The sequence below is a fragment of the Homo sapiens genome, chromosome 12 (assembly GCF_000001405.40).
Source record: "Homo sapiens chromosome 12, GRCh38.p14 Primary Assembly".
NCBI lineage: Eukaryota > Metazoa > Chordata > Mammalia > Primates > Hominidae > Homo > Homo sapiens.
Window position 1 is genome coordinate 10,879,683 of NC_000012.12, and position 24,861 is coordinate 10,904,543.

The following is a 24,861-nucleotide window of genomic DNA, read 5'->3' on the forward strand; positions in this document are numbered from 1 at the left end:
CTTAACTAAAAATACAAAAATTAGCCAGGCATGGTGGTGCATGCTTGTAATCCCAGCTACTCAGGAGGCTGAGGCAGGAGAATCGCTTGAACCTGGGAGGCGGAGGTTGCAGTGAGCCGATATCTTGCCACTGCAGGCCAGCCTGGGTGACAGAATGAGACTCCATCTCAAAATAAATAAATAAATAAATAAATAAATAAATAAATAAATATAATTGAAGGCAAATTTAAGCATATTTTTTCAAAAAAGAAAAAGAGGGAGATGGAGTAGGAGAAATAAAAAAGAAGGAAGAGGAGGAGGAGGAGGAAGAAAGAGCCTGCATTTCTAATTGTCATAATTAAATTTCCATAAGCAGATACTATTTTTTTTAAAAAAAACCTAATTAGAATTTTACGGGTCTGATAAGAAAGAAAATGCTAAAAAAAATATGAATACTCAGTGTGTTCCTATTTTGTTTGAAAGCCTAGAAAAAAACAATATCAGAGACTATTCTACTTAGATTTTTTGGACAAAGAAATCTTAAGATTTTTAACTCGGGAACATTTAATTCCTCACAATTTCATGTCTGCTGTTCTTTCCTAAAATCATTATTGTGAAGCAGACATGACTATATCCACTAGTGTTTCATGTATGTGATCTGCTTAGTCTTCATCCTTTAGGGGAGCCATTTTGATTATTCAAAAATTTAGAAGAGGAAACTTAGGCTCTGAGACTTAAGTAGCTTCCTATGAGTCCAGAGTTAGCAAGACATAGTTCTTAAACTGCAATCTGAGAGATTCCAAATTCTTTGCCCATTCAAGTCAGGCTGCCTCTGATGAAATCCATTTAGGTTTTCTTAAGAATAGTAAGACTCATAGGCAGGGACAGAACTGATCAGTGATAAAATATGGGAAAATAGGTCTAGTGGCTTCTGGGGAATAGAGGCATAGAACCATACTCATTTCCCTAGAAAACAAAATCGGTTACTTTTGAACTTGTTAAAATTTCTCTCAGCTTCTGGGATTTTCTTTCATTGGTATTGTTTTGCTTACATTCATAAGCTGACTAGAATATCAAGAAATGACCTGAAAATAATTGTACAACTTAAATTCGAGCTATAGAAGACAGAGAAGGAAAGAAACAGTGGAACTCCTTCCCCAGGTGGATGACTTAATAAGGATAAGGAGGAGAGAAGCTTGCTGGAAACATCAAGGAGAAGGGGTCCTGGATATTCTTACAATGTGAACATGGGTCTCAGATTCTAGAGTCCCAAACACTCAGAAAGAGACACCACCAGCAGAAATTGCAAGCTGATTGTTTTATTGGTATACTGAAGTTAGAGCATGATGCCATGTTTCACGGCATTTGAAACACTGTTATCTTCTTATTCACTTCCTGAAAAAGACAAGCAAACAAGGAAGATTACAGACAACACTTGACATGGCAGGAAATGTCTAATCCCTCACTGGGGGTTACTGCAGTGATGGAGATGCAAGCCCCTACTCTTGCCCTCTATCCCTTCTACAGCCCCCTTCTCCTTAGTAATATTTTCTTTGTTCACTCTTTAAGCCATTGCACATAATGTGATTTAAAGTGTTGCTTAGATGAGAAAGAGAAACAATTATTGTTATGTGTTCATGCTTTGCTGCTGTTGGTTATGTAAGGGCTATTTTTACAAAGATGGGCACTGCAACATATCATATAATAGTGAGAATGTGAATCCAGCCTTAATATCCAGTGACAGGGATTGGTTAAATAGATTACGGAACAACCAAACAATAGAATAGTATACAATTGTAAAAACAAACTAACCAATAAACACTGAAGAGATCTAAATGAACTCATGAGAAAGTTTTCTAAACAATAAATTTTTCCAGTGAGTAAGACACAAATCTGAATATACAGTATGGTATAAGTGCTTGTAATAAAAGCATTATATATATTTATGTAGCAATATATATTTCAAAAAGTAGATTCCAAAGAGTAAAAGGTGGGGGTTTTGAGAAGGATAGAAGGGAGGAAAGATGAGTTAGGCTCTTACTATTTAGCTCTGTACATTTCGGTTCAGTGAGATTAGTTTTTGTTAGCTTAAGCATGTATGACTTTAAATGTAAGTATACTAAAAATGAGATACCATTTTACAACTGAAAGTTCAAGGACCACTTAGCAGGAATACTGGACCTGAAAGCCTGATGTGAGGCAGGACTGAGCAAAGCATGTTCAGGTGAAAACTTTAAATGGGAGTCTGAGTTTGAGGAAAGAAAATAGAGAGAGCCAAAGGGGGAACATGGTTCTATGTCCTCATTGTCAACCCTACTTAAGACATGTAATTTGAAGATAGTGATTCTCAAAATCAGAATTGCCTTCAAGAGCTTCTGTAAAACACAGGGTCACAGGGTCTTGATACTCTATACAAGAATATCTGAATAACAATTTTTAGAAATGTGTTCCAGGACAGGGCAATATTAACAGGTTTTCAGAGGATTCATTGGCACAATGAAGTTGGAGAACTGTAGCAGTTGGAGCCTTTGATGGATAATAAACTGGAATCGTACCTGTCATTGAATCCTAGATTACTGAGGAGACTGCCCCTGTGGAGGTCCTTGTGGGCGGCCCCCTTGGGGAGGTGGTCCCTGGGGCTTTCCAGGAGGAGGTGGGGGAGGACCTTGCTGATGGCCTCCCTGTTGGGGTGGTCCTTGTGGCCTTCCTCGAGGAGGACGGGGATGGCCTCCCTGTTGGGGTGGTCCTTGTGGCCTTCCTTGAGGAGGAGGGGGATGGCCTCCCTGTTGGGGTGGTCCTTGTGGCTTTCCCTGAGGAGGTGGTGGACCTTGTTGCTGCTGGCCTCCTTGTTGGGGTGGTCCTTGTGGCTTTCCCTGAGGAGGTGGTGGACCTTGTTGCTGCTGGCCTCCTTGTTGGGGTGGTCCCTGCTGAGGGCCATCATCCTGGTTCCCATCACCAGCAGAGGGTTGAGATTGCTGTCCTCCCAAAGGTGGTCCCTGACGCTCCTCATCTAGGAACTGCTCAGAGTCTCCTCCATCTGTGTGAGTTGAAACAAGAAGAGCTGAGCTCATGCTGGAAAACCCTCCTGTCTTCATACCTCTCTGTCTTCACCACACGGCCGGCCCCTCTCTGCCTGACCTGCCTCTCAACTCCCAACCTCCCCCCTTCCCAAGGCTTCCTAATTAGAACTCCTCTTAATCCACATAAGGGTGATGAAAAATTGAATTTCTTTACTCATGGTCCCCAGAATCAAGGTTGGGAGAAAACTGTTTGTATCTTTGGGGCATTGGTATTAGCCAATTCCTGACAAGAAAATGGTGATAAGAAGACACTGGAGAACTCATCAATTTTTCAGGGAAAAATGGAGACAGAGTTTACTGAGAATTTATTGGGATTTACCTGATATTACGAGGGGAACATCTTCCTGGCTGACATCTAGAAAAGAAGTACAGGATGATGGGAAAAGTTACTTCCTGAATCATTCAAGGCTCATAGTGTTCTACGAGGATAAAGGACCTCTGATCACACCCTGTGCATCCCCTTTGTGATCTCATCAGCCACTCTCTGATGCTACTGGAAGTGGAAGAAGATGTAAGGGAAAGCAGTATTGTTACTACACTGAGCGTCAACCAGGAACTCAACATAGAAGGGCCCCTGTTTGTCCTCTTTTGATTCCCCAAGCCTTGATGAGGAATGAAGATACAATAGGTCTTCTGATCCTCGGCATGAAAATTCTGCAGTCCCATCTGTTTTCTCATCCTCCTCTCTTCCCTCCACTTTCCTCCTCTATAGCATTTGCCTGTAAACCCTTAGCGCTTATTTAGTTAAACTGCTCTGAGTATTTCAATGACATATTTGGGGATTCTTCTGCCCTCTTTCATCTGTAAATATGTTGTTTATGTTTGCAAGCCTTCTCAACAGGAGCCACCAGACATAGCCACTTGGATATAATCTTACGCATGCCATTCCCAGCACATTGAAATACTACATTCAGGAGACAGAAAAATGACAATGTTTCACTCTGGTTATTCTCTAACTCTATGTAGACAGAGACAAGTGTTTACCCAATTCTCTGCCTCGGCAGTAGCTCTGACATGTGTTTATCTCCTTCATTAATGCTCATCCACTGTACAGCAAGGCCACCATCATCCCTGTCTACTGGGATCAGTACAGGATCTTCACAGCTGTACTTCCCTGAATCTGTCTTGCATTCTCCACATCCTTCACAGCAGTCCCATGTCTCTATATAATGCAAATCTCACTCTCTCACACCCCTAGTACGAATTCTTTATTGGATTCTATTTGTGCAACAAATAAACTATGAGGCCTTGATGAGGAATGGAGGTACAATAGATCTTCTGATCCTCAGCATGAGAACTCTGCAGTCCCATCTGTTTTCTCATCCTCCTCTCTTCCCTCCACTTTCCTCCTCTATAGCATTTGCCTGTAAACCCCAATCAGAGTCACAATATCTTCCCCCAATTCATCTTACCTTCATTTAAATCCTGAGCTGAGCTGAAGGCCAGCAGGGCCACTGACAGCAGAATCAGAAGCATCTTGCAGGAGGCTCTGGTGTCACTCCCAACTTTGTGCTGGGAGAAACGTGTCAGCTCCCTTTATAAAGACAAGCAGGACAATGGTGCATTTGAGCTCCCTACCAGGTGGGCCTCCTCGCCTCAGAGACTGGCTTCTGCTTTGCTTACTTCAGGTCAAGTGTATCCCTCATTTCTTTTGGGACTCTAGCTCAGCAGGAAGGGTTGGGTAGGATATTGTTTGTGTCTAATTCCTAAAAGGCACAACTATGACTTGGACAAATGTTTTGACGGAACTGTGTCCAAGCAGTCGGCACAGTGTCAGGATTGAACTTTAGACATCTTTTGGTTTTCAATCTGTTTGGAAAGACTGCTATTCTGCTTTTCACTGTGCTTTTCATTTCTGTGTATGTGAGTTTGTGTGGGTGTGTCGGGGGGTGGACACTGATCCTACAGCTAACAGTGAAGATGGTCAATATCTCTGACTGTTTTGATAGCCTCTTTCCATCTCTCATGATGTGTGTGCGTGGATATTTTCACATTTAGCTAAATTTTTCATGTAACAGAGATGGTCTTGCTTATCTGTGAGATGTGTGAGGACAGCACACTCCCAGGCACACATATATGAGAGAAAGGTGCTGGCAGCCTGCTCAGGCTACAAGAATTGTCCAAACTTCTGTGAATCTCACTACACTCAGGCAAGCCTTGGTGCTATACAACACAGGCAAGCTAAAATATTTGTATTTTAAAAATATCTTTAGGGTTTATTAAAGCAAAACTGAACTCAGAAACCACCAAGGAATTTCTAGACCTGAACAAACTGAATATATGGTTCCCTAAGTGAGCCACACGATGTCATATAGCTAAGACCTCCACTTTCTCCAGAATATTCCATAGAATTCATCCTCTACTTTATTTCTTCTAATAAATATTGTAATTGTCATCACTGATAATTAAATGGCCACAATTATACATTCATCTAAGATAATTTGTAATACCTGTCCAAGCCTCAATTGCCTTGATTGGTCTTCTGCTTTTACTCAGTAATTATGTCACCTGTTTCATCAGAGTGTTCTTTCTCACCAAGGATTTTTATCTGTAATATTCCAATACTCATTCTTTCTCATTCTTTTTCTCGCACTTATTTGTTGAAATTTTGTATTCTGAGTCTACCTTGCCATGTTTACTTTTCGTCCTATATCTTTTTTTTTCTCCCTACAAAGGTGTCCTTTATTTATCCTTCTAAGTAAAGGTGTGTGGTACTCCTCACTACCTTTACTTTCATTTTTGTCTGTATAATTTGACAATAAAAAATTAAGTTTCCAAAAAGCCCTGTCAGGGTCCTGGTTTGGTAGCTCTCTCCTCAGCTGCTGATTGCTCCAAAAATTAAGTTTCCAAAAAGCCCTGTCAGAGTCCTGGTTTTGTCGCTCTCTCCTCAGCTGCTGATTGCTCTGTGATACCTAGAAATTCCCTGCTCATCAATTCATAAAATATACTACTCAGAATCACCAGCTGCACTTTCCATTTCAGACCTTGAGTAGGTCTTGTGTAATTTTTCACTTTTTGTGCATGGTTAGTCTTTATTTGAGGATAGCTTGGTTGGAGGCATGGCTGAGAAGCCAGGTGACAGAAAATCATAAAGACAAGGCCCTAGACAGGTGTGCATGAGTGGATCCTGTGCTGGGCATATGAGGGTCTGGTATGGCTCTTCTGAAAAGTTGCAGATAATAATACAAGAAGGCTTCCTAGTAGATTAGATTTTGCTACAGACGACATTGTTCTTGTAAGGGACCCAGGCAGATTGGTATTTTCCCTGGAATAAATATAGACCTATTTCAGGGGGGAATGCATTCTTAATTGGCAATTCTTCTCTGGCCCTGTGGGAAGTAGATCAGCTCTAGCTGGGCCGTATGAGTTGTATCTCAGGCACAGAGTAGTTGCTTGAGCCCAGCAGCTCCCAATGCGTTATGGAGATTATTGTCTCTGGTTTCACCAGGTACTGTTTCCCATAGGACCTGGAGATGAGCAGTCCTGCCTCGGTGACTTCAGGTCAACCATCATGTCAAAAAGGAAGGTCAGAGAAAAGGAACAAAGAGGAGTGCCAGGCAGATATTGCCTGATGATGTGGGGGACTGAGGAAGCTGCAGGCCTGGTGCAAGACAGGTTTCTCCTTGGCAGCAGAGTACAGGAAAAGAACAGGAAATCCTCCTAAAGGTCACTCAGCTCAGGCCTGCTCCCTAACCTGCTCCAATGTCAGCAATCAGCGAGAGACTAGTGTATCAGGAAAGCATAAATATCAGCTATGCTCTCACTAGACACATCAAAAACAGAGGTAATGGAAGAGCTGAAAGGGACACTGTCTGTGAGTGAAGGTGGGTGAAAGGGAGACGCAGGACTGCTGCAGGAGCTTGGGTACCTAGAGGTGGGTGGCAGCCCTCAGCACCACACTTGCCTTCTACTATAGATGTTCATATTCTGAGGCCCTGAAGGGCCAGTCTTCAACATATGAAATTTTAGGATTCATCTCTCATAACACATCCCAACATTTTCTCGGTCACTGACAGGTGTTTACCTAGTGGTTCAAAAATCCTCGCTCCCTCCAGGAACTTATGCATTAGCCGATCTAATTGCCTCCACTTTCAAAATACGTCCCAAATATGACCACTTGCCTGATCTTTACTAGAAGGTGATTGTTCAGCCATGATGCTCTCTCCTGGAGGACTTTACCAGCCTCCAGCTGGTCTTGGTAATGTTCTTCCCCCAGCTCATCCCATATCAGTTCCCTCACAACAATCAGAGTGATCATTTAAAAGTAGAAATTAGGTTATATCACATTTGTGCTTCAAATCTCCTGTTTTTTCTTCTGCACTTGTGATAAGATCCAAATTTCATGCCTCAGCTCTTTCACACCCACATGCCTCACTCTTTTTTGAAAACCAGGAAGCTCTCTGAATGGAACAGAAAGTAGAATCTTCTTCGACTTCACCATGCTCTAGTTTGCCTGGAACACTAAAGATGGTTTGCCAGGAAAGATGAACATTGACAGAGGGAATAAACTTCTCTGAGAGTCAGTGAGTTTCATTGGGTCGCTGTGGTCTGGCAGTGTTATGAATTGGCAGAATTATTCTATTAATTGCACCAACTAAGCATTCTGATAATACAGTTAGCAAATAAACACAATAGTCTCTGAGACTTCAACTTGCTTTGACTTGTCTAAAAAGTTTGGTGACACTATTATGGCCAATTAACTATTAAAAATATCTTCTATATTTTTAAATTTGATGTTAGTGGTCCATAAATATATATATTTCACAATTAATTTAGCATATTTCTTTTTTTTTTTTTTGAGATGGTGTCTTGCTCTGTCACCCAGGTTGGGGTGCAGTGGCATGATCTCAGCTCACTGCAACTTCCACCTCCCGGGTTCAAGCAATTCTCCTGCCTCAGCCTCCCAAGTAGCTGGGATTACAGGTCCCTCGCCACCATGACTGACTAATTTTTTCCCATCTCTACTAAAAATACAAAAAAAAAATTATATCTAAAGAAATTAAGTCACATGGCTAGGGTCACTGTAGTAAATGAGGAAAAATTAAGTTGATTTTCTCTTCTCTTTGTAATTCCAGTTTAACCGGATGTTGTCGATGTTGTTTTCAATTTAGAAAATATAGCAAATTGTTCATTAGCCATGAGTATCACTCTGCTATCCACCACTTTCTAAGAAGGCGCTTATTTTAGAACAAGGCTAACACTAAATTACAGGAAATTAAGTAATTGTGGCAAACTAGAGAAGCATAGTATGTATAATAGGTCTTACTCAGTTAGATCCACCTGTCAAGGCTGAGTCCCTTTCTGGAGTCTCTAGAGAAGCACCCATTTTTTGTCCACATTCCTTGGCCTTCTTCCATCTTCAATGCCAGCAATAGCCACTTGAGCCTCCCATCACATAGCATCACGTCGCCCTTGCACTGACTCTTCTGCCTCCCTCTTCTGCAGTTAATGACCTTATGGTTACATTGAGTCCACCTAGATAATCCAGGATAACCTTTCTAAATTCAGGTCAATTGATTCGCAAATGTAATTTCCCTTTGTCATGTAAGTTAATATATTCACTTGTCTGAGAATTAGGAAGTGTGTGACTTTGGGAGACTGTTAATCTTCATAGAACACACAGGATGGACACCTTACCCATCTAGACCTGGTTTGGCTCAGTGAGAGTTGGAGAGACTCACCCAGGCTTCTTCCAGATATTTGCATGAGAATATGAATGAGTTTATGTATAATTAGTTGTTATACAAATATTTGTGACTTAAAGTATATATCTATGCAAAAGCGTAAATCACAAACTGAGATGGCAAAAATTTACTTTCAATAACCATTGACACTTAATGCATTTTTTGATATTTTAGAGCTGTCATATTTTTTGTTTTTTATTTATACTACTTTTGATTGTTTTCTTTTTCCTGATCTCCTATGGGGCCACTGAAAGTGTTTTATAATTCTATTTTAGTTGATCCGTATAATTTTTGAGTGTATCTCTCTGAACAGTGTTTTTAGTGATTCTTCTATGTTTTACTTTACATGTACATAGCTTATAATCTAGTGGTGTACACTTTTTACCAGTTTTAGTGAAGTATGGAAACCTTACATCCCTTTATAATTTTTAGGTCAAAATGAATTTATTATTTTTCAGTTTTGTAGGTCAGAAATCTGAACTGAGGTTCACTGAGTTAAATCCATGTGTCAAGGCTGAGTTTCCTCCTAGAGGCTCTAGAGAAGAATGTCATTTTTCCACATTTCCTGTCTCTCTTCCATCTTCAATGCTAGCAATGGCTGGTTAAAACATATGAAGAAAACTCAAGTGAAAAAGGAAGATATATTGTGTTTGCCCACTTTCCCCCTTTCTCTTATTTTTACTTCATTCTTGATGTTCCACAAATTTCTCTTCTATTCTTTCCTTTATGTTTAGAGAACTTCATTTGGCTATTATTTAAAGATAGGTTTGTTGGAAAGAAATTCTCCTAGGTTTCTAGCTTTTCTTTTTTTCTTAGAATGCCTGGATTTCCTTTACATTAATGAAGGATATTTTTATTGAACATAAACATCTGGTAGACCATTTCTACTTTTGAGCACTTTAAATATTTGTGCTCCTTTCTACTGTTATTTCTGGTTTCTGGTGATAATAACCACTATTATTTATATTGCATTTTCCCTATAACTATGATGTCATTTCCTTCTTTCTGCTTTCAATATTTTGTCTTTAATTTTCAGAAATTGGACAATGAATTTTCCTGGAATGGATTTCATTGGTTGTATTCTGGTTGGGATTTGCTCAGCTTCTTGAATCTGTAGGTTTATGCTCTTTGCTGTGTTTGGAAAATTTTTGATCATTATTTCTCTGAGTCCTTTTTCAACATCAACCTCTTCTGCTTTTCTGAAACTCAGAATGCATGAATAGTACATCATTTGTTATAGCCTTTCATATTCATGATATGATGTATAATTTTTTCAATTATTTTACCCTGTATTGTTTAGAGTATATAATTTCTATTGATCCAACCTCAAGAACACTGTCTTTCCTCCATCATTTTCTTTATGCTATTTATCATGCCCAATAAAGGTTTTTTAAGACATTATATTTTTCATTTCTAAAATATCTGTTTTCTTAATTTATAATTTATAATTCCTATTTTTCTGCTGACAAGTTTTTCCTTTCCATTCATTTTGAGTGTCTACCTTGACCTCATGAAGGATGGGTACAACAGCTCCTGTAAAGTCTTTGGTCATTTTAATATCTAAGTAATTTCAAGGTTGTAATTTCTTGATTGTTTCATTCCTTGAGAAATGGTCGATTTTTTGTGAGTTGTTTTGAGTACATTGAGTAATTTTCTGTTTTATCTTGCACAGAGGGATTTTCTCTTTTTGCAATACACAAAAAGCCCAATAAGGGTAGGTTCGGACATTGGAGGGTGAAGGCACTCATGGTAAATTATGCTCCACCAACTGGCTCAAATGGCCAGGGAGTTTGTCCCACTAACATTTTTGGTGGTTTTCCCTGGGTCAATCTCTCTGGCACTTATGAGATAATATTTTAAGTATTTAATATCACACCATACATACAGATATAAAGACAATAAAAAGCAGTGCATCGAATGGGTCCAAAGGGCCCTATCCACAAAGTCTTCCTAACTTTGGTGTGTGTGTGTGTGTGTTTGTGTGTGTGTGTGTGCACTGTTTGTTCAATCCTCATCAGTTGAACTCAGGCACTTCTTTTTCCTTTTTCTTTCTAAACCTGCTTGTTAGAGGCTGTCACAGTAGCCAGAAGGCCCTGCTATCTTCTATTTGAGTATTTATAGAATGCAGGAAAAAAGAGGGTAAACTATAAAGAACGACTGTAGGCCTCCCCGGTGCAGTGGCTCATGCCTGTAATATCAGTACTTGGAGAGGCAGAGGTGGGAGGACTGCTTAAGGCCAGGAGTTCTAGACCAGCCTGGGTGACATAGTGAGACTCCTCTGTCTTTACAAAACACTAAAAAATTATCCAGGCATGATGGTGTGTGCCTGTTGTCCTAGTCATTTGGGTGGCTGAGGTGGGAGGAAAAGAAGGGAAGGAAAGAGGAGGGGATGGGAGGGGAGGGGAGGGTTGGCTTTTTTTTTTTCCTCTTGGCTTCTTGCCCTTCTTTCTAGTGCACCTCCCAGTAGGGTCTCTTTTGTATTTCCTCACATGCTATTGTCCTCCATCCCTCAGCACCCCTTCCCCCAACCCCCAGAACCAAGTAGAATGGTGATTTGTGCACATATATCCAACAGGGCTATACTAATTTGAGTCCCTACTCTCCTTGAAGCTTTGCAATATGTTGGGATGGTTCTGTAGGGTCTTTGGTGTCCCTTGGGTCAGGAAGATCTCAGGCCCAGCCCGAATCCCTAAAGCAATTGACATCAGAATAGAGGTAAAGAAGTTATCAGGGAAATATAGAGAAAGTGTCTTCAGGCCAGTATGCAAGACACATTTACTTTCAAATAAGCATTATTGCCACTACTCGGTGGTTAACTGAATAAGCATCTGAATGTAACAACTTTGGGAGATCCTTAATCTTTTCACCTTTCCACCAAAGGCCTGTAACAACTTTGGGAGATCTTTAATCTGTCTACCTAATGTTATCTGGAGAAGACAGCTAAATCTAAAAGTGTCATTTGGAAGTCTGTTTCAGTTCTACCAGTGGTACTCAATTTTCAACCACTTCCCAATCCTCCTCATTAATGAGCAACATAATAGAAGAATATTTATTTACCAATTACAAACATTTTAGTCAACATGTTAGCTACCAGTTCCCATGGACTTTCAGCAAATCCTATTAATCAGCTTGTAGGATCCTTCACTTTCTCCTCAGAAGGCCAGGTCTTTGGGCTGTGTTCCATCCTCGTTGCCAAAATTATTATAAGCTAACAACTTAGCTTGTCACTTGTTGTACTTGCAGAAGGCAAAAGATGGTTTATTATTCACTGAAGTACTAGCAGTAGTCAGAGGAATATCATCGTACTATTTCTTCAAGCTTCAGTCCCCTCACAGGGATAAGATGAGAAACTGATGTTACATGTGCAAGTAGTGGTGTCTATCAAAAGAGAAATCTCAAAATTAGGAAACTCCAGTCTTAAAAACTTTGATCACTGTGAGTAACCTGTCCATCTTGCCTTCTGAAGAAGAAGCTTTACACTGGAATGTAAGCAAATATCTCTGGAGAGAAGAAGAAGAAGAGAAGAGTCTTTATCTTTAAACAAATCTGCCTTCTGACCAAGAGGGATACCCTATTTCTAAATCCCAAGGCTCTTTGCCATGACCTGGTCTTGGGCAAAGTGAACGAGACTCCTAGGGCACAAAACGTAAAAAGGCATTCAATAGGTTGCAGGGCCCTAAAACCAAGTGGCTCCTCAAACTTTGCACCCTGCATGCCTTGCTCACCTGATCCTAGTTGAGGCCCTTCTGTTTGCTCATCAAACATACTGTTTGCTCACAAGATAAGAGCTAGACCATGCAGAAGTGCAATACATTCATGGAGAATTTTTTTCCCAACATCCATTCCCAAGATCAAGGTTACACAGTTGCCAAAGATTGTAGAGTATTCTGAATATATCATCTATTTTCTTCCTGGACAGAACTAAATCCATCAGAAGTAACTTTTTTAAAAAATGTTTCTTTCTTTTGCATACAATTTGTTTTTATTTTAGATTAAGAGATGAGTCCAGAGGTAAGGGGGACAGGAGAACTGTGACATCAGGGATGACACTACCCTTTGAGAGCACTGGAGCAGTTAGAAAGGATTGAAAGTGAATAATCTTATTTCATAAGGGGTATGTCATTTTATGATTCAAATTAAGTCTGTGATTATCACTTAGCAAAATTGCTAAAATCATTATCAGAATATCCCATATCATGATAGGAGGAAGAAAAAGAAGTAAAATCTAAAATTGTTATGGAGGTAAATAGAAGACTGCCATAAACAAGCTATCTACAGAATTATGGGGCTTAGGAATTCACAGTACCCTATAAACAAGAACACAGCTTTGAGAATTTCTATACTCTAATTTTTAAAAATGAAGTATATTTTGTGAATTTTTCACCCACAAATTATTTTAACTGGAAGCCATCACAGCTCATTAATCAGCAATTGGTGAAGGACTAAAGCAGCCCAAATCATTCCTGTCTCAAAGTAAGGCCTGCTTGTAAGCAAGTGTGAACTGGGGATGTATGTGCAGAAATCAGAGCCTAAGTATGGTAAGCTGGACATTTCAGAGATAAGGAAGGCAGCTGGTGTGTGTGAAATCTTATATCAATAACTGATTTTATTTTTTCAGTCCTAATTGCTATTATGGAATTTGTGCTTTTCATTATTACATCTTCACAAAGCATGATTTTTAACTTTAGAACAATTTACATTTTATGCTGGATAATTCTGTTGTGAGGGACTGTCATGTGCATTGTGAGATATTGAGCAGCATCCTTGTCCTCGTACAGTTATCAGGTAAAATACAGAGTGTGTCAGTTCAATTTGAATTTCAAATAAGCAACAAATAATTGTCATTGTCTGTGTATCCAATTATCAATGCTGCAGGTCTGTAATTGGTCCTCCATAGCACACTTACATTATGATGTAAACTCATATTATGGTTATCACAAGTAATACTTATTTATAAATTTATTCTTGTTGTTTTTTCTTTTGTCTGAAATGTAAATTTAACTAGGCCTCCTATATTTTTATTTGCTTAATCTGTTAACATTACAATAGATGCCAGCAGCATCCGTCCAATTTTAACTGAAATGTCTCCAGGCATTATTAAATGTCCCCTAGGGGGGCAAAATTGCCCTGTGTGGAGAACCACTGTCCTAAAGGGATTTCATCCTTTGCACATGGAAATCTCGTGGTCTATTCTCTGGATATTTTAATTTTATTCACACATTTAAAATTTCGTTTTAGGCCTGCAATGTCCAGGTTATTTTTCTAGGGTTTACTTTTTGTTCTATCGATTACCATATAATTAACTTTTTAAAATACTTTCTGCAATGTTGAAAATTTGTCTTTTGTCTTTACTGCTGAAAATTATATTATTTGCTTGCAATATGTTCTTTTTTTTCTTAGAGAGAACGTAATTGTTCTTCAAAATCTGCTTCCAATTATTTCATTTTAAATATTTATTACTGTTACCTTAAACTTGCGATTGTGTTCTTTTATTTAACCTGCTATTTTTACATGCTTTCTCATTACATTTTTAAGAGGAGACGTTCTTATTAAATTCAATTCTGTAAACTGATTGGTTATCCCTGATTTGTTTTTCTTTTCAAAACTTTATTTATTTTTCTTTCTTTACACAGTGACTTTCATCAAATGAGATCCTGTATTTGTTACTATCGTCTTGGTCTTCTATATTTTTATTTACTAAACCTGGTAACTCTACACTAGATGCCAGCAGCAGTCCTCCAATTTTGCTTACTTAAAATCTTACTGATTTTTTAATACGTGTCCTTGCCTTCCTTACACAGTTAACCAATTGAGTAAAATTTTATTGTTAGTCCAAAGATTCAGATTCTACAGTACAAGTCTGTTGTAGATGGTCAAGATTGTAACATTTTTGATGGTCAAAGTTGCTTAGTGTTTTTAACTGAAAATGACTGAAAATATTAACAGAATAGGGCTTATATTTGGAAATAACTCTTAGTGATGTACATTTCAATTGACTTTGTTTCATATCCTCAAAGTTTTCACTAAGCTGTAGACTCTACTAACTATTTTCATTTGAGTTTTCCTTTCTAGTTTTAAATTATCAATTGATCATCATTTTTAGGATAGGAACTAAATCCCTATGTGTTTGTACATATAAATCTGATTTTATATACACTCTATACACATACATAGATATTATAATTCTTGATGTATTTCTATTCTATTCTAATGCTTATGCAACATATTAATAAAATTTAAAGATAGAGTAATCTATTATATTGATCACAGTGCCTAATGAAAAATGCATTTTCAATATATTAGAATTTTACTATTAAATACATAATCTCCATATATGGTGCAAACAAGGTAGCAATCTGTTCTGCTTAATTTAAATCAGCAAGTATTTTCAATAATGCTCAATATATCATAGAACATAATGAGAAAATAAGAGGTAGGTGAAAGAAACAAATGTGTAGCCCTCCTGTTCTTCTTCCTTTTTTTCTTTCTGAGAATATCATCACTCATATCAGGCATGTTTATAAAAATGAGAGATTATGTCCTTTTTGGCATACTTCATCTTCTTCAGGACACAGAGAGAAGCTTGCTTCAGTTTGCTGTCCCGTAAAATTAGAAGAAATGAATGGCCAGATGGATGGAAAAATACCAGCACACTACTAAAAGTCCTTGCCGCAACGAAGTCTAGAAGAGGACAGGCCAATGTTAGTATGATACTGATGAAATAATGCACAATAAAGAGGAGTAGAAATGAAATTATAGCTTTTATAGGTTTTACATGGGCTTCTGTGCTGGGATCCCTGGAATAAATACCATGTAGCTTCATCTGCCTGGTGTGGCTCCATAAGGAGAGGATTAAGAGAAGAATGGAAGCCAGTGTTTCCACAAAAGGAAGGATGAACATCATCTGAAGGAGAAACAGAGAAGTGAAATCATGCATGGTATCCATATAATTAAATGTCAAGTTGCCTTTTATTGTTACCCGTTCTTAGATTAAACTATTAATTATTATTTCCTTCAGAATGGAAGTTGTGCAGAAAGAGATCGTTGCCTCTAGTACAATAAAGAGAAGCACCTTGTGAATTTTCCATTTCATCCAGAGGAAAATGGGATTGGAGAAGTTGGCTACCTTGAGGAAATAGAAGACACTGAGGCAAGTGGTACAGGACAGGCAGAAATAGCTGGATCCTGTCCAGAGAATGTCAAAACTTACTGCAAGATTCTTAGAATCAGGCATTTTCTCATAGCCTATATTGAAAGAGGTAGCTAAAATTGTTATCTACAGGAAACATATCCTGGAGATGGCCAAGCAGTTGAGAATAAAATCAATCAGGGAGACCTTTCAGTTCCTGATTCAGTCAATGATATTAACCAATACAATGAATCAATTTCCCACAGTCCCCATTATGAATTACACTACAAGAATTCTTATAAACAGTGTCTCCCAAATGCTTGACATGCCTCTACATAGTGAATCTCTGCCTTCAATACACCATTGGCTGATTGATCCTAGCTGCACTGTTATAGATTTATATATCCAAAGGAGTGACTTCTTTCTGTTTTATTGATGGCCATTGGTGTAGTCTGGAGAGATCCAAGGTGTGTTCTAAAATTAGATTTCAACTAAATTGTAAAATATACAAGTTTTTTTCCCTTGAGGGTATCAGCTAGTGATTTTCAAGGCAAATATTATATTCCCTGCTACTATTGACTCTGGTTGTATTTTACATGGAAAGTTCTGCATTCAAATTTGAACCCTCATTTGTTAACATGCAAAATTGAAGTAGATTCTCCTTTATAGTTTTACAATGCCATCTTTTGCTTAAAGGTTATTCATTTGTATGATGTATCCCTTTGATTCATCTACCACCCTGGGCTAGAAATTCTAAGCCCCCATATAGAAAAATGCAGTATATATTTAGAGTTTATGATCAGCATATTTCTTCATTATCAACCTCACTAATGCAGATTATTTATAAAATATGCAAAGTTTAAGAAAATGGAGAAAACTGCTCTCTGATATAATACCAAATCTTTTAGAGAGTATGGAAGTTTTTGGCCAGGCACGGTGGCTCACGCCTGTAATCCCAGCACTTTGGAAGGCCAAGGCAGGTGGATCACCTGAGGTCAGGAGTTCGAGACCAGCCTGGCCAACATGGTGAAACCCTGTCTCTACTAAAAATACAAAAATTAGCTGGGCTTGGTGGCATGCTCCTGTAATCCCAGTTACTCGGGAGGCTGAGGCAGGAGAATCGCTTGAACCCAGGAGGCAGATGTTGCAGTGAGCCGAGATCACACTACTGCACTCCAGCCTGGGTGACAGAGTGAGATCCGTCTCAAAAAAAAAAAAAAAAGAGAGAGAGAGTATGCAAGTTTTAAAACATACGATACATACTTTGGCACTTCTTCTATTGATATCTTAGGAGTCTGTGTACTCTGTCCTTAAATCTAGAATGGTTTGTGACTAATTCAACTAATAAAAATGCTATAATAATTCTAAAGCTAAATCATGAAAAGCCATGCAGTTTTTTCTTAATCACTGCAATATTTACTCTTGGAGTCCTAAGCCACATGTAAGTAGTCCAACTACTCTGAGGTCACAATGTCCAAACCCACATGCAGAGGCCATGTGCAGGCCCTCTGGCTCATTATCCCACGTGAGCCCAGCTTTTACGTCCTTTTACCCCAGGTACTAAACCTATGAGCCAAGAAAGCGATATTTGACCTGTCTGATACGGTAGATACTAGCCACATGTCACACGTGGCTTTTTAAATTCACATTAATAAAAATTAAATAAGATTAAAAGTACAGAGCCTCAGTATTACTAACCATATTTCAAATGCTCACTAGCCACGTGTGACTATTTTATAGCCAACATACATAGGGGATATTTCTATCATTGCCTATCATTGACATTTCTATGTATTTCTCAGCTCCGCCTTAGATAAGTTCAGCCCCTGGTCACTTGAATTGCCCCCAGTTGTTCATAACTTTCTGGCTAAAGGCTTAGACATTCTGGAACAAAAAGAAGCCATCCCTGCTATGTCTTGAACAAAACCCTAACCTACAGAATCTTTAAGTGAATTAGTCTATTCTTGCATTGCTATAAAGAAACACCTGAAACTGGGTTTCTGTAAGAGGTTTAATTGGCTCATGGCTTCACAGGCTGTACAGGAAGCATGGCGGCATCTGTTTCTGGGGAGGCCTCAGGAAATGTATAAAGATGGCGGAAGGCAATGGGGAAATCAGATACATCTTCACATGGTTGGAGCAGGAGGAAGAGAAAGATGGGGGAGGTGCCTTACACTTTCAAACAACCAAATCTTGTGATAACTCACTCACTCACTATTGCCACACCACCACCAAGGGGGAAACTGCCCCCCATAATCCAATCACCTCCCACCAGGCCCCACCTCCAACATTAGGGGTTACAATTCAATATGAGATTTGGGCGAGGACAGAAATTCAAACCATATCAACAAGCACAATAAAATGGCTGTTATTTTACACCATGAAGTTTCTGGGTGATTTTATTATGCAGCAATAGAGCATCAGAATAGAATTATTTAGCATATGAATGGTATCAATATTTTGTCATTTCTAATTTCCATGTCTGTTTTTCTCTTCTATCCCAAATAAAGGTATCCATAGCATCTTTATTTTCCTCAGTGTAAGGGGAACTTGTATAAATTTTCTATAATTTTTTCATACGTTGAGCTGAACTTAATCTTAATTCTGATGAGGTCAAACCAGGAAAGGCCAATTAGTCATGTTCTTTGTGTAATGCAACTGCTGCATTTCCCTCCCAAAGTAGCTAGTCCAAAATTTAGTGACATTCAAAACCAATGGAGATATAATATAGGCCTAAGAGGAGTCAAAGAAATGAATGAGTTGGACAGCCCACCAAAAGATACACCCTAGGTAAATTCACAAAGAAAACTCCATGACTAAAAGAAAGGCTAATTGTGATAGGCAAACATGAAATGCAAACAAAACTGAAACTGAAATAAACAAAGGGAAATTCAGGAAAATATTATATGCTGAAAAAGGGTTATTTTATTTGTCTTATTGAATATCTTCTTTGTTCCAGCCCTCTAGGAGGTGGGATGAAGCATTAAATACAACTATTTTTAAATGCCCTTAATAAGTTGACATTCTGAAAAGATGAACTCTAAACATATAACTAATAAAATATATATCATACAGATATAAAATATAGTTTATAAGAAGTTGCAAATATAAGTAGAGAGGGTCAATAGAAAGCATGTCAGAAGAGGGGTTGAAATTTTAAATAAGGTGCTTAGGGAAGGACTCATTGAGAAGGTGATGTCTGAACAAAGACCTAAAGTAGGTAAAGAAATTATCCATGTTTTGTCTGGGTAAAGTACATTCCAGACACACGGAACAGCATTATCAGTGTGCTAACATTGGATGTACCTAGTGTGTCTGAGGAAGAACAAGGAAAGCAGTGTGACTGTTGCGGAGATGAGAGAGTGAGACCACTAAGAGTGAAGTCTCAGAAAGAAGAGGCATGTGCCCAGAAGGCAGCACATACAGTCAAAAGAGATTATTTTAGAACGTTAATATTTAACGCCTGCCCTGCTGTGTTTTGTACTTGCGTGGTGCCTACTGCTCCTCTCTTGTGGCTGATTTCTCCCTTTTGGAATGAGAATGTCTATCCAATGCCTGTACAACAACTGTATCTTGGAAGGAAATAAATTGTTTTTTATTTCACAGGCTCATAGCTGGAAGGAACTTGACTTCCAGTCTCAAATGAGACTTTGGACTTCAGACATTTGAATTGATGCAGCAACGTGTTAAGAATTGGGGGACTATTGTTGGGATGGAAAGATTACATTTTTTTTTATGTGAGAAGGACACGAGTTTTCAGGGGACCAAGTCAGAATGCTATGGTTTGTACACGGTTTGTTTGTCCCCATCAGAACTCATATTGGGATTTGATCCCCAAAGTAGTGGTGTTGGGAGGTTGAGCTTAGTGAGAAGTGTTTGAGTCATAGGGTTGGTTCCCTCATGAATGCCTTGGTACCATTTTCAATGTAGTGAGTGAGTTCTCACTCTCACAAGACTGAATTTGTTCTAGGGGAATGAGTTGTTTTTCATGAGAGTGAATTGTTATAAAGCCAGGATGCCCCTTTGGTTTATTCTCTCTTCACATGTGCCCGCTTCTGCTTTGACCTTCTCCACCATGGTTTGACCCAGCACAAAAGCTCTCAGCAGAAACTAAGCAGATGCTAATGCCATGCTTCTTGTACAGCCTGCGGAACCATGAACTAAATAAACCTCTTTTATTTATAAATTACTCAGCTTCAGGTATTCCTTTATACCAACACAAACAGACCAAGAAATTGAGGAATAATATTTATAAAATTATTTCAGTGAATTAAATTAGATAAAATGGACAAATTCCCTGAAAGAAATTACTGAATCAGGCACACAAAGAAATAGAAAATCTTAGTGTCTATTTTTAAAAATTGAATTCTTAATTTAAAACTTTCACACAAAGCAAGGGATGACCTGAATGTTTATTTTCATCACATATTTAAGAAGAAAAAAATACCAACCTACATAAATTTTTCAACAAAGTCTCATAAAGGTTAACTCTGTGAGCTTTATTTCAAGAAGGAAAGTGGGAATCTACCAGAATCATAAGGACACACAGATCCCAGGGAGGGGAACATGGGCAAACAGCCCCCATGATGGCACCCAGTTAAAAAAGTGAATGAAGCTCCAGTAGGTGAGAGAGGCAGAGAGCCTCCCTCTGTGACTCACCTTTCCACTGGGGATCTGAGCAACCCAGTGCTCAGAGGGAAGAGTACCTTGTTTCTCCAAAGCCCTGGAGATAACTTGGAGAAAGGCTTAGAGACATTGTAAGGGAAAGACACTGGGAAAAGGTTCAGGCCTTTTCTCAGACCCAGGACTGAGAGCAGGATACCATTTTTAATTCAGATGCCACAAAGTCAATCATTCTTTGGTAACTAAGCAGCGTAGCTGTGCAGGCATTTTAGTCTTGGGCCAGATATTGGAGCACCTGCTTTAGAGCAGGGTGGGGACCTCCATGGCCAGAATTGTGGGGAAAAAAAACCTTAGCAGCAAACACTGAAACTGTGCTATCCCCCATCACAGGCCTGGGGCAGGAGGGGAGCTGCTACAGCCAGTTTATCCTATGTGATGAGACTTGCAACCAGGCAGCTTAGCTACTTGGAACTAGTCTGTGTGTGTCATTGCTGGGTACCCCACCCTGTTCCCCTGTGATTGTGGTGCAGCAGACTCTCCTCCACTCTACCTCTAGGCAGAAATCTGGGCATTTGGATCACTCATTCACCTGGTTCAGCAGCTTCATCTGCTCCACCCTTCTTGTGCAGAGATCCTAGAATAGGGAGGCCCTCTCTGCTTCATGCCTAGGCAGATCCCAGGATTTTGGAGCACCTGCTAGCAAGGTTCAGCACCCTGAACCACCTAACCTTCCTTGACGTAGGTCATGGTGCAATGGGGCCCTCTCTGCTCCACAGCCAGGCAGAACTCTAGATATCTGAAGCACCCATTCACCTGGCTCAGCAGCCTATCCTCCCCTACCCTTCCTGTGCAGAGATTTTGATGCAGGGAGGTCCTCTCTGCTGCATACCCTAGCATTCAAAGCACCTGCTCACACAGACTGGCAACCTGTGCTGCCTCACCCTTCCCGTTCACAGATCCATGTACTGGGCTGATCCTCTCTGTTTTATGCCCAGGCAAATATCCAAGCATTAAGAGCACCTGCCTGCCTAGTTAAGAAGCCTGAGTCACCCCATTTACCCTGTGCAGAAATCTTGGTTGGTGGGGGTGGGTTCTGCTCCACAAGCAGGCAGATTTCCAGGTATTCAGAGCCCCCACTCTCCTGGATTAAGAGTTTAGGCCAATCTCTCCAATATCCCTGTGCAAAGAACTTGGAGCCGAGGGGGTTACCTAGCTCCACCCCTAGACAGAACTCTGGTCACTTGGTAGCCACTCAGTAGATTCTCCCTCAGTGTTGGTGCTTGTGTCTGCCATTGGAAGACCTATAGGTGGACCTGCCTTGTCTGGCCCCACCCACCTTGCTCCCCACAACCCCCAAGGCTGAGCAGGGAGTTCACACCACTGTGTACTCCATGAGTCAGACCATTATCTGCAGCAACAGAGAGTTTCTTCCAGTAAACAAGGATCAAATATATAACCATCACATTGTCCAAAACTGGCTCTTACCTATAAGTGCCATCTACTGGCTTGTAGGTTGAACCGCACAGTCTAATATAAAACCTGCAACCTGTAAGTGCATAAGGCTATAGAAGCTGGGCAAAAGACCTACCCAGAATTCTCTAAAGTCATACCTCCTAAGGAGGGAGGGGGAATGGAAAGGGAAAGAAAAAAGAACAATAATATTATAGGGAAATAAAGAAAAAAATCCTACCTTATGGAAATAATTACAAAAATTAGAAGTGCCAGTATTGCCAGAGGAGGAGGAAAGAGAACAAGAATTCTACCACCATAAAAAAAGTGAATGTAATGAAATCAACACCATCAAAGGAGCACAGTACCTCTCCAGCAATGGTCCCTAACCAAAACAAAAGCTCAGATATGACAGATAAAAAATTCAAAGTATAGATTGCAAGGAAGCTCAATGAGATGCAAGACAAGGCTGAAAATGAATACAGAGAGATTTCTAAAGCAATCCAGGAAATGAAGGAAGACATAAACATCTTACAAAGAAATCAATCAGAGCTTCTGGAATTGAGAAACTTACTTAAGGAATTATAAAGTACAATTGAATTCATATAAAGTACAATCTCTCATAGACTGGACCAAGCAGAAGAGTTTCAGACCTTGAAAACTGGTCTTTTGAACTAACCCAGAAAAAAAAATTAAAAATAATTTAAAAATATGAATACAGTCTTAGAGCAATATGGGATTATGTGAAGCAACCAAACTCATAAACTGCTGGCATTCCTGAGAAAGAAGGAGAAATAGTTAATAACCTGGAAAACATATTTGAGGAAATAATTTAAGAAAATTTCCCTAATCTTGCTAGAGAGGTAGACATACAGATACAAGAAATCAAGAGGACACCTGACTGATGCTATAGGAAATGAACATCACCAAAGCATATAGTCGCCAGACTATCCAAGGTCTACACTAAAGAAAAAAATCTTAAAGGCAGCTAGAGAAAAAGATCAGATCACATACAAAGGGAACCCCATAAGGCCAAGTATATAGCTCAGCAGAAACCTTACAAGCCAGGAGAGATTGGAGGCCTACTTTCAGCATTCTTAAAGGAAAGAAAATTTTCCAACCAATAATTGTATATTCCATCAAACTAACCTTTATAACTGAAGGAGAAATAAAATCTTTTATAGACAAGCAAAGGGTAAAGGAATTTATTACCACTGGACCAGTCTTACAAGAGATCCTTAAGGGAGTTCTAAACATGAAAATCTGCTACCAAAATAGCACACCTAAGCACATAGCCCAAGACCCTATAAAGAAACCACACAATAGAAACTACAAAGCACCCAGCTAACAACTTCAAAATAGAATCAAAACCTCACATAGCAATATTAGCCTTGAATGTAAATGGTCTAAATACCCTCACTTAAAAGTCACAGAGTGACAAATTCAATAAAAAACAAAAGTCATCGGTCTGCTGTCTTCAAGAGACCCATCTCACATGTAATGTTACTGTTAGGCTCAAAGTAAAGGGTTGTAGAAGGATCTGTAACACAAATAGAAAAGAAAAAAAGAAAGAATCACTATTCCTATATAAGATAAAACAGATTTTAAACCAACAACAGTAAAAAAATGACACAGAAAGGCACTACATAATAATAAAGTGTTCAATTCAACAAGAAGACTTAACTGCCCCAAATATACATGCACTCAGCATTGGAGCACCAAGATTCATGAAACAAGTACCTCCAAACCTATAAAAAGATTTAGATACCCACTCAATAATATTGGGGGACTTCAACACCCCACTGAGAAGATTGGACAGATCATTGAGGCAGAAAACTAACAAGGAAATTCTGGACTCTTGAAAAAACGCTCAAATAATTAGGCATTGAAGGAACATACCTCAAAATAATAAGAGCCATCTATGACAAAACTACAGCTAACATTACACTGAACATGCAAAAACTGAAAGCATTCCCCTTGAGAACTGGAACAAGAAAAGGGTCCCCACTCCCATCACTCCTATTCAACATAGTATTGAAAGTCCTAGCCAGGACAATCAGGCAAGAAAAAAAAAGGCATCCAAATAGAAAAATAAAAGCCATAGTCAAACTATATCTCTTTGCTGATGTGAATCCATACATACAAAACCCTAAAGACTCTGCCAAAAGGCTCCTGGCACAGATAAAGGACTTCTGTAAAGTTTCAGGATACAAATCAATTCACAAAAATCAGTAGCATTTCTATACAATAAAAATCTTCAAGCTGAGAGCCAAATCAAGAATGCAATCCCATTTACAATAGCCTCAAAAAAAAAAAAAAAAAAAAAAACAACTAGGACTACAGCTAACCAAGGAGGTGAAAGAGAACTGTGAAACACTGCTGAAAGAAATCATAGATGACACAAACAAATGGAAAAGTATTCCATGCTCATGGATAGGAAGAATGAATATTGTTAAAATGGTTGTACGGCCCAAAGCAATTTACAGATTCAACTCTATTCCTATCAAGCTACCAATGTCATTTTGCACAGAACTAGAAAAAAAAAACTATTTTAAAATTCATATAAAACCAAAAAAAGAGCCCAAATAGCAAAAGCAACCCTAAGCAAAAAGAAAAAAGCCAGAGGAATCACATTACCTGACTTCAAACTATACTATAAAGCTACAGTAACCAAAACAGCATGGTAATATTATAAAAACAGACACATAGACCAATGGAACAGAATAGAGAACCCAGAAATAAAGACACACAACTACAGCCATCTGATGTTTGACAAAACTGACAAAAATAAACAATGGGGAAAGGACTCTGTATTCAGTAAATGGTGCTGGGATATCTGGCTAGCCATAAGCAAAATAATTAAACTGAACCTTTACCTTTCACCATATACAAAAATTAACTCAGGATGGGTCAAAAA

At 39.0% G+C, this 24,861-nt stretch overlaps 1 protein-coding gene, 1 long non-coding RNA gene and 1 pseudogene across 4 annotated transcripts in view, besides 1 other annotated feature; all 3 read right to left on the reverse strand.

Annotated features, from left to right (window-relative positions):
- Positions 1 to 24,861, reverse strand: part of PRH1-PRR4 (PRH1-PRR4 readthrough) — a 325,777-nt gene that overhangs the window by 33,834 nt on the left and 267,082 nt on the right. Inside the window, exons 5-7 of the long non-coding RNA NR_037918.2 lie at positions 4,472 to 4,593; positions 3,379 to 3,414; positions 2,535 to 3,016 (exon numbers count right to left, since the gene is read on the reverse strand). This is a non-coding gene — a long non-coding RNA (PRH1-PRR4 readthrough). The remainder of the gene's footprint in view (positions 1 to 2,534; positions 3,017 to 3,378; positions 3,415 to 4,471; positions 4,594 to 24,861) is intronic.
- Positions 1,283 to 24,861, reverse strand: part of PRH1 (proline rich protein HaeIII subfamily 1) — a 290,647-nt gene continuing 267,068 nt past the window's right edge. Inside the window, exons 4-7 of one of the 3 annotated variants that reach the window (NM_001291314.2) lie at positions 4,472 to 4,593; positions 3,379 to 3,414; positions 2,535 to 3,016; positions 1,283 to 1,374 (exon numbers count right to left, since the gene is read on the reverse strand). In NM_001291314.2, the coding sequence (NP_001278243.1) occupies positions 2,553 to 3,016; positions 3,379 to 3,414; positions 4,472 to 4,535 (564 nt within the window). In that variant the 5' untranslated portion in view covers positions 4,536 to 4,593 and the 3' untranslated portion in view covers positions 1,283 to 1,374; positions 2,535 to 2,552. Of the gene's footprint in view, positions 1,375 to 2,534; positions 3,017 to 3,378; positions 3,415 to 4,471; positions 4,594 to 24,861 lie in introns of those variants that run through there. The other 2 variants (NM_001393989.1, NM_001291315.2) reach the window with 2 other exon arrangements.
- Positions 15,252 to 16,199, reverse strand: TAS2R12P (taste 2 receptor member 12, pseudogene; annotated as a pseudogene).
- Positions 21,768 to 22,062: an enhancer, noted in NCBI's record as "tiled region #13514; K562 Activating DNase matched - State 13:Ctcf". NCBI's record gives its function as "activates a minimal TATA promoter and a strong SV40 promoter by Sharpr-MPRA in K562 cells {active_cell/tissue: K562}" and the evidence as "EXISTENCE:reporter gene assay evidence [ECO:0000049][PMID:27701403]".